This window comes from Homo sapiens, chromosome 6, assembly GCF_000001405.40.
Source record: "Homo sapiens chromosome 6, GRCh38.p14 Primary Assembly".
In the NCBI taxonomy this organism is placed as follows: Eukaryota; Metazoa; Chordata; class Mammalia; order Primates; family Hominidae; genus Homo; species Homo sapiens.
The window spans coordinates 79054960-79070040 of NC_000006.12; the positions used below are offsets into that span (position 1 = coordinate 79054960).

At 34.5% G+C, this 15081-nt stretch overlaps 1 protein-coding gene, 1 long non-coding RNA gene and 1 pseudogene across 5 annotated transcripts in view; 1 reads left to right on the plus strand and 2 right to left on the minus strand.

Moving 5' to 3' along the window:
* Positions 1-15081, minus strand: part of PHIP (PHIP subunit of CUL4-Ring ligase complex) — a 143836-nt gene that overhangs the window by 120541 nt on the left and 8214 nt on the right. For 3 of the 4 annotated variants that reach the window (XM_005248729.6, NM_017934.7, XM_011535919.2), the window contains exons 5-6: positions 5709-5859; positions 5519-5617 (exon numbers count right to left, since the gene is read on the minus strand). In XM_005248729.6, the coding sequence (XP_005248786.1) occupies positions 5519-5617; positions 5709-5859 (250 nt within the window). Of the gene's footprint in view, positions 1-5518; positions 5618-5708; positions 5860-8861; positions 14216-15081 lie in introns of those variants that run through there. The other variant, XM_011535918.4, reaches the window with a different exon arrangement.
* Positions 1-15081, plus strand: part of LOC124901346 (uncharacterized) — a 73415-nt gene that overhangs the window by 51108 nt on the left and 7226 nt on the right. The gene's annotated exons all lie outside the window — the stretch shown is intronic.
* On the minus strand, positions 12731-13175 carry LOC100419073 (nucleoporin 155kDa pseudogene; annotated as a pseudogene).

The window sequence follows — 15081 nt, forward strand, 5'->3', positions numbered from 1 at the left end:
TGCAAAGGCTTCTTAGCATTAATTGGATGTCTGGGTAGTGAAGCTACTTTTCAAGGCAAAGTTTTTTCCTTACCCTCAAACATGTTTAAGAATCAGGATTCTCAAAACTCCTTATCCTCACACAAAACTGCAGAACTTAATAGCAAACCTCCACAGACAAGTAAAATAAAAATATGGAAATACTTAGGCAAAACACCAAAAACGATGACAAATGAAAGACCTAGAGATAAAAAGTTTACTTTGCTAACATGTCAAATGTAAGAAAAATGCAAACAAAGCAATCAGCAGAAATTGCTTTAATTTAATGTATTACAATCTTTTTCACAAGATAAACATGCATTAAACCAACTTCCAAATTTAATCTTAAAAACCCCTTTAATGTATTTAGGTCTCTTCTTTCCTATCTCCCCTTACTCATGCACATTTATTACTGAAGTATAAGCAAATATAGAATAAACTATATCTGAAAACAGGCATAATGTGGGTATGGAGGTAAGAGAAAGGACAATACTAAAGATTCGCTAATACCTTTGGAAGTAAATGCTGCTATGCCAAGTACACACTCACATCTCTCTTCCACAATAAAAGAATCACAAGCTAGTAATAACAACAGATCAGTGGGATCTTTTGTCTTTGCTTTTGAAAACAGTATTAAAGGAGGTTCTAGAGCACTGGAAGGCAGGTGAACCACTTTGGGTCTCTTGCTGAGACTGAGTTCTAGTTCAATTTTCACAACTTACATCAAAGACCAAAAGGTTCAAAGTAGTTGGGAATTCTAAGCACATAATAAAATAAAACAGGATAAGAAAACACTGAGACAAGCTCAAGTGGCTTCTCAAATTGTATAGGTATGTATTTTATATTCCAAGTGTAATGAACTGATAACTCAGTCTACTCATAAACCTTAATTTCTTAAAAATCAGTTTCTGGTTTGGTGATTTTATCTTCTCTTACCACAAAGCTATTCTTGGATCAAGCTTCTCTTCTTTCTACCAACCTTCATTCCATTTTTGTAATACCTTACCCACCTTTGAACTTTACTTGTCCCATCCCAGTGTATGAATTTCATCAACTACCTACTACTTTTCATTTAATATTTACTAATGCTGAAGAGTTGGGTCTCTAAAGAGCAATAAAACATAATGTCTGTCCTCCAGGACCTAACAGTATAGTAGAGGAAACAAAGGTAAATAAATAGCCATAACCATGTGATAAAATCAATAGTAGAGATAAGTAAAACCACTTAATTCTGCCCAGTTTAACATCTGAGTTTTAAAGGATAAACAGATATTTGTACAACGTACAGAAAACAGAGGGGCATTCCAGGGAGAAATAAAACATGTGAGGAGACAAAAGGATGAAAACCAACATGGCTGATTCTAAGAACTGCCAAAGAGTTGTACTAAGCTAGAGCACAAAGTGCAGGTGAGGACATGGCAGGAAAAGTGGGAAAAGGTCAGTCTTGTGTGACACATTAAAATGGTTGACACTATCATTCAGTCACTCTCAATGGGGGAAAGGAGGAGGCATGACATGGTAATATGTGCACTTCAAAAAGTTTAGAGCAGTGATAATTTTGCCCAGGAGATATTTGGCAATGTCTGGAGACTTTTTAAATTGTGACAAGGGGGTAGTGGGGATGCTACTGGCAATTAGCAAGCAGAGGCCAGGGATGCTAATAAACATCCAACAATGCACAGGAAAGCTGCCTACATCCAGGAATTATCTGGCCCAAAATGTCTCAACAGTGCCAAGGTTAAAAAACCCTGGTTAGAATCTGACTCCTAGGATACATACAGGAATAGACTAGGGGCAGGGGCTCAAGTAGCAATTAAGTTCTGGGAGAGCAGAGGTCTTGTTCTTGCTTATCCGCAACTCCAGACCCTAGCCCAGTGCCAGATATAATTAGAGATATACAATATTTACTCAGCGAGTGAATGAATAATGTAGAACTCCAAGCAAGAAGTACCAAGGCCTGAAATGTGGCTGTGGCAATGATAATGGAGAACAAATTCAAGAAAGTAGAATAAACAGGTATTATTTATTAAACGGACATAAGAAATGAACAGTAAATCTAAAATAAAATTATCTCCAGGCTTCTGGCTTGGAGTAACAAGGTTCAGAGAGTGTCAAAAATTACATTTTAGGTATTTTTAAGTTTGAGATGAATGTGAGATATTCAAGAGGTCCAACAGTTTCCATATGGTTTGAAATATCTAAGAAAATCCAATTTTGCCACAAGCTTAACCTAAAATTATCCTCTGAACTACAGTAAGGAGTCCAATAAAAAATTAACAAACCCTATGTCAAGTACGGTATCCTGGACTGGATCCTGGAATAAGAAAACGTAATTAGTGGGAAAACTTAGTGAGACATGAATAAGGTCTGCTGTTTAGTTAACAGTAATGCACCAATATTGGCTTAGTAGTTCTGAGAAATAGACCAGGTAATGCAAAAGTATAACATTTGGGGAAACTGCATGAGGGGTATACAGGAGCTCTTTAAACCATCTGTGTAACTTCTCAGTAAATAATTTCTTACTCCAAAATTAAAAGTTTATTTAAAGAAAAACTACTACCCCAAATGTGTCAAAATTTTAATATTTGGGATCTATATTAAACGTTTAAATCTACGTACGTATCTTAAGAAAAGCTAAAATATCAAGAATTTTTTCTTACCTCCACTGATACTTGGTAATACCACACTGACCAAGGAAAGAGCAAAGAAAACTTTTAAAGGTAGCCAGACAGAAAATGGCAAAGACTCAACAAAAGAAGAAATAAGTCAGTACTACAAACATTCATATATATTTTTTTCAATCTTCTGAACCATACTGTAACAGCTTGAAATAATGCATTGTACCACTATGCAGGCAACTATTCTGGCAAGAAGACTGATGAATTATTTCTCCCCAACACCATCCTGTTCATTACTTTATAGCGATAATAAAACAAAATATATACCATGGTGAACTCTAGCAAAACACAGACACTAACCTATGACTATGCAAGTTGAGTCATTTTGGTCAGTCTAGCTTCTCTGCAGTGCTTTCAAAAAATATATGTAAATACAATTTTTAAAAGTAGGCAAAATGGGCAATCCACTACAGGTGTTTCTTAAAATAAAGCAAAGATTTTCCTGAAAATCACAATGGAAGAGAGAGAGAAAAAAATTATCTTAAACTCTAAAAATAAAATAGTCTTTCAGAAAGGTACATCAATCACCTGCTTGGCAATTAATTCTGTTACCTAAATGAATCAATTACATTTCTATGCTTGGATGCAAAACCCAAGGTATTTTTGCCATACGTATATATAGGGTTCTGTACCATCTGTTGTCTCCGACATCCACTACGGATCTCAGAATGTATCTCCTGTGAATAAGGGAAGATAAATGTTCCTCTCTCCTTGTCAGCAGTATTTACTAATCTGACCATCAACGACGTGGCCTAAAATATTATATTTGATTTTATAAATATTTGGTTCCCTTTTACAAAAAATGACTAACACCAATTTTCTTGAGTAGCCAAGTGTTATTATTAATAAATTCAGTTTACTGGGAATAAAGCATAGCATAATGGAGTCAAACAGTCTGGGTTGAATCCTGGCTTCACTTCTCACTGCATGTGTGAACTTGGTCAAGTTACCAAAATCTTTCCATGCTTCAGTCTCCTCTGTAAAATAAGCATAATAGTTCCTACCTATAGAACATTTAAGGTTTTAAAAGAGTAAATAAATAGAAAATGCTTAGAACAGTGTCTGGCATACAGGAATTACTCACAAAGCAAATGTTATTTACCATCAATCATTCTTACACTTTCATTACCTACCACAGGCCTGACTGACAATGTACTGAAAGAACAAGCATAACGTGTTCTCCTTATTATGTGGATCTATAGTTTTTCAAAGACAGGATAAACTTTTCCTAAATGGGAAAACTCCTATAATATTTTATCTTTCCCTTCTTGCAGGAATCCTATTATACCACCTTAGAATACTTTTCTAAGTACAAATATACCCTCGTCTCTCAAATTTTTTTGTTGTTTTAATGGTTGTTTATTATAGCAAGATTATATATTGAAATTATTTAAACAGGACAATCTTATGTTTTAAAAAAAATCATAGATGATTACCCACCACGCAGATATCACATACGTTATCTCTGAAAAGTAAGTCAGAGCAAACAATTCAGAATACATCAGAGAGTCAAAAACATGTAAAACATAGAAGAAAGGATAACGAAGCAGATAAAGTGTTTAAGTCCCATAGGAAAGGAGAGAGAAAGGAACACAGAGGTTATTTTAAGATAATGACTGAGAATTTTTCAATGTCAATAAAAGACATTTCCAGAATCTAAGCAAGACAAATTTTTAAAAAATTAACATCAAGACATATCATACTCAAACTGCAGAAAACCAGAAAGAGAAAAAATCTTAAAAACAATTAGAGAAAAAGGGATTGCCTTCAAAGTAGCAAGTTAGATAGTAGATTTAAACCCAAGTACATCAATGATTATATGTAAATGACTAAATGTTCCAGATAAAACACAGATTATCATATTGTATTTTTAAAAGCCACTTTTATATTTTTAAAAGACAAGAAATAAAAGGAAACAAAAAGTTGAAAGCAAAATTATATATATATATATATATATATATATATATATAAAAATGCCAAACAAAAGTCATATAAACTTACGATCTGTATAATAAGTATCCAGAAAAGGAAGAATTAAGTAAGATTTGAACAGGTGGAAGAAAGAAGAGTAACATTCCTGGCTAGGCAGGAACATGAGAGTGGAAAAGAAGCTATGATTGAACTTTGAAGGTCTCTGAAAATTAGGAGTACACTTAGAGAAAGTACAACACTATTAAAATATCTTAACCTCTTTATACTATCTTCAGCAGAAGAGTGACACAACAAAGGTAGAACTGAATAAGGTTACTATTACAGTGTTACACACTATACTGGGAGGGAGAGAGAGATAGAAGACACCATAGGCAAGAAGATTAGTTTGGATGATGCTGTATTAATCCGGGTAAGGCAAGGGCCTGGTAGTAGCAGATGTGAAAGGCATGAACCTAGGAGGCATCTCAAGAAGACATACTTGCATCAGTACTCCCTCTTTGAAACTTTAGCCAAAAAAAGAAAAAAAAAAAAAAGTACTGTGCTCTTAAAAAGATAACTACTTTTGTCTCCTACCATTATAACTAATCTGAATTATATATTGATTCTACTAACTCGACCTAATAATATATACCTTAATATGGAACTTTCGTAAAAATAAAATTCCAATGAGCTAATTGGCCTACATAAGGTGCAATGTGCACAATCCCTCATTATACATGACTTTTTCACTATTAAAACTACTACTAAGAAAAAAAATCTATTTTTTTCTTTTTGAATGCAGATGTACATAATATGAAGTTCTCTAATACCACAGTAACTAAAAAACCTTTTCATTTTCAAAAGCTCTTTACCAAGAGGCTATTAACTACTAGTGAACTCAAACAACTCACCAATGCTGGGTGGGCTACCATAGTTAACTGGTGACTCAGGTGGTCTTCCACAGTGCAACGCAGCCAGAGCAGATCCTTTCCACACAACATGCTTGCAGCCTATTAAACACATGTATTTTTATGCATACAAAGAACACAAAAACAAAAGTGAGATAAATAATGTCTAAATCCTATGAGAAAATTTTCATACTTTTATTTGTGCGTAGTAAAGACTGTCTTCCAGCTCCTAATAAAGTTTGTACTCCAGGAACACTTTGAGGAATTTCTTGTTCAAGAAGAGGTCCTAGTCGATGACATATTTGCAGCAAGTGATCAGGTGCTAAGTGTCTGTAATACTTCACCTATTATGTAAAAGACAAATATAGTAGGTTTCAGTTTATCATTTTAATTTTCAAAATCTTTGAGCAACAATAAAAAAATTCATCCAAGTATAAAATATTTTGTTTTGCGTCTTTGATGTAAAGTAAATCTCCAGAATAATTAAGAATTAAGAACTGATAGTTTGTTATTAAAAAATTTAAGAACACTTAACATCTATGCTGAATTTCATAATTTACCAAAAACCTTACAGAGAGAAAGGCAAAATTCCAACTGCTGCTTTAAATATCTTTCAATCATAAAATAAAGCTACCCACTATAAAAAGTTTGAGCACTTTTGGAACAACTTCAAAATACTGCTTAATTTATACCGGCATTTGAAACCATGACATGAAATGCTAATATTTTTATTAGTCTTTCAGTAAATAAACAATATTCACTATCTAAATAAAATTATATTGGAAAAAAATACTATTGTATTACTTCATAATTAGCTATCAAGTTAGAAAAAAATTTCCACAGTAGTATCTAGTTCAGCTATTCTCAAAGTATGTTTTGGGAACCCCTGGAGGTCCCTCAGATAAAACTTATGAATAACACTATATTAGTTGTTTTTCACTTTTTCTCATGAATGCACGGTGGAGGTTTCCACAGGACACATAACATGTGATGTCTTAACAGACTGAATGCAGAAGCAGATAGGAAAATGTCTCCTCTATTAAGCCAGATATTAAAGATTCACAGAAATGTAAAACAATGCCACGCTTCTCACAAATTTGTTTTGTTTGGGAATAATTATTATAAAAATGTTACTTATATTAAAATAAGATTAGTTTATTAGTATTATTTAATAGGTCTCCAATATGTTAAATGCTAAGTTTCTAATATGGTAAATACCAATAGATTATAAGCTACACAAATAAAGGAACTTCAATACATTTTAGTAAGTGTAAAGGGGTCCTAAGACCAAGAAATTTGAAAATTGTTCCTCAAGTTTACCAAGTAATGGCAACTTTAACATGAATTCCTTTTGATAAGACTGATGTGGGGGGAGGTGAGGATTTAAATCATCTCATTCCATCTTGCAATATCTGCTATACTCTTAACTGCAGAAATCCATGAATGATATGTTTTTAAAGGTAGCTAATACCCATCTAAACTGAAGCCAATAGGAGAAACCTACCTTACTCTTTATCAAAATACACTCCTTCTTTCACAAAGATAACATGGAGCCATACTGCCACCAAATAATCTTTGGTAAGATTATTTAAAACAGCAGTTTGGCATACAGTAGGTGATAAGCCAGTAAAATGAGTATTTTTGGAAAAAGGAGTTCTAATACAGTTTGTATCATATGAATTATACATATTACCTCCTTGTTTTGCAGTCAAAAAGCACACTGACATTGAAGTCTCTGAAAAATCCTGAGATTATTTCCCAAACTCATTTAGCTACAGAATCCCTTTTTTCCCTAATAATATCTATCATATTCACTCAGAACATACTTTAGGAAACACTAGTATGATTAGCTAAATTAAAAAGCATTTAAAAGAAAACTTACCAAAATGAGTTTTTAAAATCGTATACTTTTCTTTAATCTTCCCCAAAATAATTTACTCAAAAATAAAATTTAGAAGTCTAGAATACTTGTAAGGTTGCTTCCAGTTCTAAGCTTGCAAATGATTATTTTAATGTGACTTAATTGATCAAAATTCCTTTTAAAAATTTTACTTTAAAGAAGATGGAAGTTCATTACTTATTAACTTCAGATGTGTGATGATCCTGTTTTAGTATCCTCTGGCAAAATATATTTTCAGGTAGTGAAACTGAAAATCCTTACTGTAATATTCTATCTTTCAATAAAATATTATGAATCCACTCTGACTCAAGCTTTCTTTGGTGATTTAGAATGTTTGAATTTTTCAAAATCAACTTTCATTTTAAAGTTAGAAGAGATACTTCCAGTTCTTAAATTCCTTGTGCTTTCTCTGGCTTTTGAGACTTTATACAAGCTGATGCCTCTGCTGGCAATCTTGTCTTACCTGCTCACCTCTACACCTCATTCTCCTTCATGTCTCAGTCTATGTCTCACTCACTGCCTTCCATGACCTATTTACACCACCTGTGCCCCTTTTTGGACACTTTGTGTTCCCACAGCACATTATACTCCTCGAATGTCCCTTCATCCCTCTAGCACTGTGTAGTACTTACCATATTAATTGTTCTTAATATATTTTGATACTTAGACTTTTAAGAATCTAATGACAGCTACGATCTTCTTCCCTGCAAAAATACACAAGCCCTACCATTATGTGCCCTGTTTTGGGGGTTCATAAGACTCATGCACTATACTAAAATTGCCAGTTTACTTGTCTGTGTCCTGCATAAGGAGAGATTGGGCCATGTTTACCTCTGTCTACCCAATACCTAATGCAGTACTTATAGTTAAGTGCTTAATAAAGTTCTAGTTGGATATATGAAGATTTAAGAATATGCAGAAACGACTGACTTCCCCACTCTCAAAAAACCCAAAACATTTTGTTAGCACCTATCCCAGCACATAAAAATAGATGCAGTAAAATTTTTTTACATGGTATAATTCTTTATTCTAATAGTTTTGGGGTGAGTTTGTTTGTTTTGAGACGGAGTCTCCCTCTGTCACCCAGGACGGAGTACAATGGCGGGATCTCGGCTCACTGCAACCTCCGCCTCCCAGGTTCAAGTGATTCTCCTGCCTCGCCTCCCGAGTAGCTGGAATTACAGGCGCCCCACCACCTAACCTGGCTAATTTTTGTATTTTTAGTAGAGACGGGGTTTTGCCATGTTGACCAGGCTGGTCTCGAACTTCTGACCTCAAGTAATTCGCCCCCTAGGCCTCCCAAGTGCTGGGATTACAGGCATGAGCCACAGCGTCCGGCCAATTCTAACAGTTTTAAAACACTTTTTAAAGAAAGCCTTAGAACATGTCTTCAAACAAATTTTAGACAAAACAGATTAAAGTAAAGGTACTCAGAAAGTATCTTACTTAAGTGGCATCAGGGAACACATATCTCAATGCTTGACTCTCTACTTGCTTCCTCTTAGCAGTCCCTGAGGTACCACCATGAAAGGGTCTCTGGAAAGAACAGTGGAAACAGACTAACAAACAATGCTATTATCCTCTCTTTCCCAAGAATCCTCTTCCCCACCCCTCATTTTCTCAGCAGATGACCTAACCTACTTTACAGGAGAACCTTTTTTAAAGCTGAAGCTTTGTTTCTTCCCTATCAAATCTGTAAACCTATCTACACCTGTACCAATTCTGTCTCTTATTAACACAACTGTCCCTCTTAATAAATATTTAAGATCCAATCCCTCTACTTATGCTTTGAATCCTAACTTCTCTGACTGCACGGAAATCCTACACTATAAATTAGACCTCCACATTCTAGTATGTACACTAACTTCCTCTCAACCAACTCCTTCCCATCTACATGTAAACATGCTCATTTTGCATCCACTTTAGGAAAAAACAAAAATCCTGCCTAACTGCTATTATCCAACACCTCCCCACCCAAATATCCTGGCTACCCCTTTCCCGTTCTCTTCCTCTCCGGAAACATGTTTTTAAAAGAATGGTCCATAGTCCATCTAATTTCGTATCCCATCCTCTCCTCAATCTACTCCACACTAGCTCCCACACTCATGACTTTACAAAAAATAGCTCTTATCAAAAGTTCACCTTCAATTATCAATAACTCCAATAAGCATTTTTAAATCTATACCTTATTTAATGTCCCATAATATTTCACCTAACTGTTGAACACTTCCTCATTTGCAAACTATCTTCTCTTAACTTTTGTGACACTCCTTGGCTTGCTTTCTTCCTCTCCAACCATTCCTTCTCATTTTTCTTTTAGGCTTATACTCCTCTATATAGCCATTAAATAGTGAAGTTCCTTAAGATCCTAGGTACCAGAGTCCAGTTCCAGATCCTCTTTTCTTCTCACTATATACTCTCTCTTTGGACAATTGTTATAACAATGATTGCCAAATTTCTATTTATAGCATAGACTTGCATAGCAAACTTTCTTAAAACAGCTCTCTAGAGCCCCAAAGCATCTGAAACTCAACATATGCAAAACTGAATTGATGGATCCTCATGAAAACATTCCCCACTAAAGTGTTCCCTACCTGGGTGGATGTCAACCCCATTTATCCAACCTTGGAAGCCAGAAACCAAGGAGCTGCATTTTGCACACAGTTCATTCCTTCCTCCTTCCCATCATATTCCCAATATCCAAGCAGTCACCAAGTTCAACTTAATTTTTCCTTCCTATTTTTAAATCCATCTACCTGTATCTCCATAACAGTCCAAATAATCTTTGCAATAAATGCATACCTTTCCCATATGCACTCATGCCCCATTCAAATCTATTCTCTATACTGCAATTAGAATGTTCTTTCCAAAATACATATTGGATCAAGTCACCCCTACTTAAAACACTTCTGATGCTTTCCTCACTCTTTGGATAAAGATCCAAATCCTTAACTTGGTCTATCAGCCCAGAAATGCATGTATGGTCACTTCTTATTTTTCTAGCTTCACCTGGCACATTCCCAGTCCCTTTCCCCAACTCTCACTTTTCACGTTTCAAACACATGGCCTTCTTTCAGGTTATTTACGCATAATCTCTCTCTCCTGTCAGACTTTATCATATAGCATACACTCTGCATTTCCCCACACTTCCTTGCCCAGACAACTCTTCCATGTGTCTCAGATCTTCCCTCTAATGTAACTTCCTTTGTTTTTCTATACTCTACACAATCCAAGTCTGTTTTCTTGGTTGCACACTTCCTGTGACTTTCCTTTATTAACTCAATATATTGGCTTGTGATTATACATTTAAAAGTGTAATTTAATGTTTTTCTACTTCACCATTAACTACAAAAGAGCAGGGGCCATGAATCTTTTTGCTCTTAACTATACCACACACACACACACACACACACACACACACACACACACACAGAATAAACAAAAATATTTTTTAAAATAAAACAATCTTTTCTACTTTTTCTAAACATTCTTTATAAACATATTAATCATATTCATATTCTTCATAAATATTAATCCATTATTTACAGATATACATATGTGATTTTCAGTTTTCAACTTAGTAAGAACCCCATATCTTTAATATAAACTTAAGCTTTTAATTTAAATTAGCTTTTATTTCACTGGTAAATAATTAAAAGACACATTTAAAATAATATAATAATAAAATCTCTTACTATATTGTATATATGTGGTTTCTCAGTAATCTGCCATACAATATTATTTCAGGGGAAAAATAACCCCTCAAGATCCCCAATTTCTGATATACGAGTTACTTTCTGTGACCCTAAGTGCTTTCAAATTCTTAACATTCAAGACATAAAAAGTATGACCAGATTATAAAGTCAGTGTGATAAATTATACTAATATAGCTAACACATATTGGCTGCACACTGAATGCCAGGCCCTATGGTAAGTGTGGTAAGTTTTACATGGAACTACTCATAACTCTGAGAGGTATATACTATCATTATTCCCATTCTATAAAAAAATTATAGAATTTATTTAAAAAGATATTGAGACCTTCCCAAGTTCAAACACAGCACATAAGAGAGTCAAACCATAGCAATCTAACTCTGGACCCTACAATTCATACTATCACACAAATGACCTATTACCTCAAATATGTGTATATATCAATGTGCAAGATATAAGCAAGTCATACAACAGACATTTTGAATAGTTTTCAACAGACATTAAACTGAGCCAGAAAAAGAGAAACATTTCACAGTTCACTTGCACTACTAAGGAAACTAGCATAAAAGCATAAATTCCTATAGGTAAAAGGGAACACTTTAAAAAATTCTAAGGGTAAAAGTAGAAGATAAAACTACAATATTTATAAGATTATACTGCTCTAAACCCTTAATTTAAAATTAGAAAGTAAAAACAGATTAAAGAGTTAATACCAAATTTGTTACTATTTTTTAAATTTCCCCAAGAATGCCCATGTATCAGTAGTGCTCAAAACTTTTTAAACTCATCCACCCTGGTTTTGTTTTTGTTTGTTTTTTAAGGGGGCAGGGGGATCTCGTTCTGTTACCAAGGCTAGGGGGCACAGTCACAGCTCATTGCAGCCTCAAATTCCTGGGCTCAAACGATCCTCCGACCTCAGCCTCCAGAGCAGCTGAGACTATAGGTGCGTTACATCACACCTAATTTTTATTTTATTTTTTTAGATACAGCATCTCTCTATGCTGCCCAGGCTAGTCTGGAACTCCTGGCCTCAAGTGATCCTCCTGCCTCAGCCTCTCAAGTAGCTAGGATTACATGTATGAGCCACCATGCCTAGCTCTCATCCCTTTTTGATGAACAAAACATTTTCTCTCCTCCAATAAGATGCAAGAATGGGCCCTATGGATGCAAATCCTGATGCCATCCCATTGAGATTCACACCTCTACTGGCTAAACCAGGAGGCTAGTCAGAGCTTTTTCAAACTTATGTCCCTTCCACCTCCGTTCTCAGTTGAGTTGCTTGCTATGGGAACAACAATCTTTGGCTAACTGTCCATCCATTTTAACTCTTTTTCATAGTTAAAATTTGAATTAGCCAAAGGTATCCTTTTTTTAAAATATCATGTTATATTATTTAGAGTGCAAGTCAGCAAACATTTGTAACCATCATATGGTAAATATTTGAGGCTTTAAGAATAATATACTATCTCCATTGCATGTTCTTATTTTTTAAAAACAATTCTTTAAAAATGCAATAACAATGCTTAGCTTAATGGCCTTCCAAAAACAGATCTCCTGCACAATTTACCCACAGCAGCCATTAGTTTACCACCCCCTGATCGAAAGAATGATTCATGGTTCTAGCAACGTTTCCATCAGCAAGAACAAAAGAATTCTGTGAAACAGCAGCAACTCTGCTCATTCCTTGTCCATCTTGGCCCAAGTCATAAATCTGTATCATCCCTTTTCCAGATCACATATATAAAGTATTTCTAAAATTATCCATTGCAATTTGAACAAAAGGGTCATCTTCTGAGAATGTGAATTACAGTATGGAAGAAACAAGAAACTGAGCTCTTTGAGAGGTTTATTATCCCGCATTTTTGGCTAAAACAACATTTTCTGATAGTATGCTACTTCACATAAACAGCCATCCTTCCCAGCCAAAAAATTTTGCCATTATCTCAGTGGAAGGTATTGTTAAAAGGCAAGTGTTATCAGTAGGAAGAAAATACAATGGATCTGGAAGCTGCTGCATTCTACCAGACTTACAGTCACTAAGAACTCTACTCAGTTTTTAAAGAAATGGTCAGTAGTTTAAAATGCGAAATCTCACTGGGCATGGTAGCTCATGCCTGTAATCCCAGCACTTTGGGAGGCTGAGGCTGATGGATCACTTGAGGTCAGGAGTTCAAGACCAGCCCTGCCAGCATGGTGAAACCCCGTCTCTACCAAAAATACAAAAATTAGCCGGACGTGGTGGCACGTGCCTGTAGTCCCAGATACTCAGGAGGCTGAAGCAGGAGAATTGCCTGAACCCTGGAGACAGAGGTTGCAGTGAGCCAAGATCATGCCACTGCACACCAGCCTGAGTGACAGGGCAAGACTTTGTCTCAAAAACAAAGCGAAATAAACAAAAAACCCCACGAAATCTCAAGTCACACAGCCTGGGTTTAAAGTTGCTAAGGCTGAGGGTGGGAAAAACATTTACTCTTTCTAAGCCTCAGTGTCCTCATCTGTATGACTGGTATCACAACAGTCACCACCTTGGAAAGTAGTCATAAATTATTAAATTAAACCATATGAAGCAGTTAGTACTGTACCTAACAGTTGGCTGTTACTTTAATTACATTCTATATTACATATTGACCCTTCGTGTTGAACAAAATCTTTGTAAATCTAAATAGGAAAAAAATTTGAGCATGTTTTTAACAACCTTTTCAAAGTGATGTTAGATCAATATATTCATTCCAATTATTTGATTTAGCTGTGAAGACCTAGAAGTGCCCTTCTTTCCTCTAGTATATAATTATTATGAAAATAAGACCCTGCTGTTTGGCACCAGTATCATTTGTCTAACTAGGCTTTCACTTCATCCTTATGTTCTGAACACCTAATTGGTTCTAAAAAAGTCAGTTTTTCAGATCTTCTCAAATCTATTCTCTCACAGTTTTGTCAGATATAAAAGGCTAGTTACACTTCTGCTCTCTATTATGTTTTTGAGTTCTAAAAGGCCAGTTTATTGGAATATAGTTCTTATTTGTACACTACTGTAGCATATAAACAAAATTATAGAAATACAATATATTGTATATACATTAATTATATTTTATTATTTATAATATATAATATACAATATATAAATATAAATTTATAGAAATACTATGTGATAATTACTGTGTAAGGCCTATATTAAAATCCCAGCCCCTAAAATTCTAAAAACATCCAAGCTTACAATTATAAATCTGTTACTAACAGTGTGGGTTAAATTATATCTATAATCTTTAAAGAAAGAATGCATTTTCTGATTTTTTAACTGTAATAGCTTCTCCACAGAAAAACAGAGTACTTACTTTGTGCTGAGTGTTCCCAAAATTTATTTATCTTCATAAGCACATAAGCTTAACTACTCTCCCTATTTCATACATAAAGAAAACTGAAGTTCAAAGGCAGCAGTTTGTCTGAGGGCACACATTTGGAAAATAGGAGAAATAGTAATCAAACCCAGGTCTCCTGATTCCAAGTTTACTGATATTTTTATTATGTTACAGCTTCCTTATTAGAACTTTAGTTTTTCTCCCCATCGACACGTAGATTTGATTAAAAACTTAATAGAACCCATATAAGTCAGTACAAGTCAAGTCCTCTAACCTGGGTAACTATTCTCAGAAGGACCCTTAGATGCCTATTATTTCTTTATAATTATAATAAAATTAATATAGAACCTTATTAAGTGTAAAAATCTTGATGGTCTATTTGCTCAAGTAATTGTGAATAAACAAGCTTCAAAGAATATGTCATATTCAGAATTTACTTAACTGTTAAGAATTCATTTAGATAATAATTCAGTTTACATTATCAATACAAATACCAACACAAATTTGTCATTTAAAGAAAATGCAATACTATAAGAAAAACAAACAAAAAAAGAAAATGCAATACTACGCTTCCAAATTTTATTCATCATAAACCA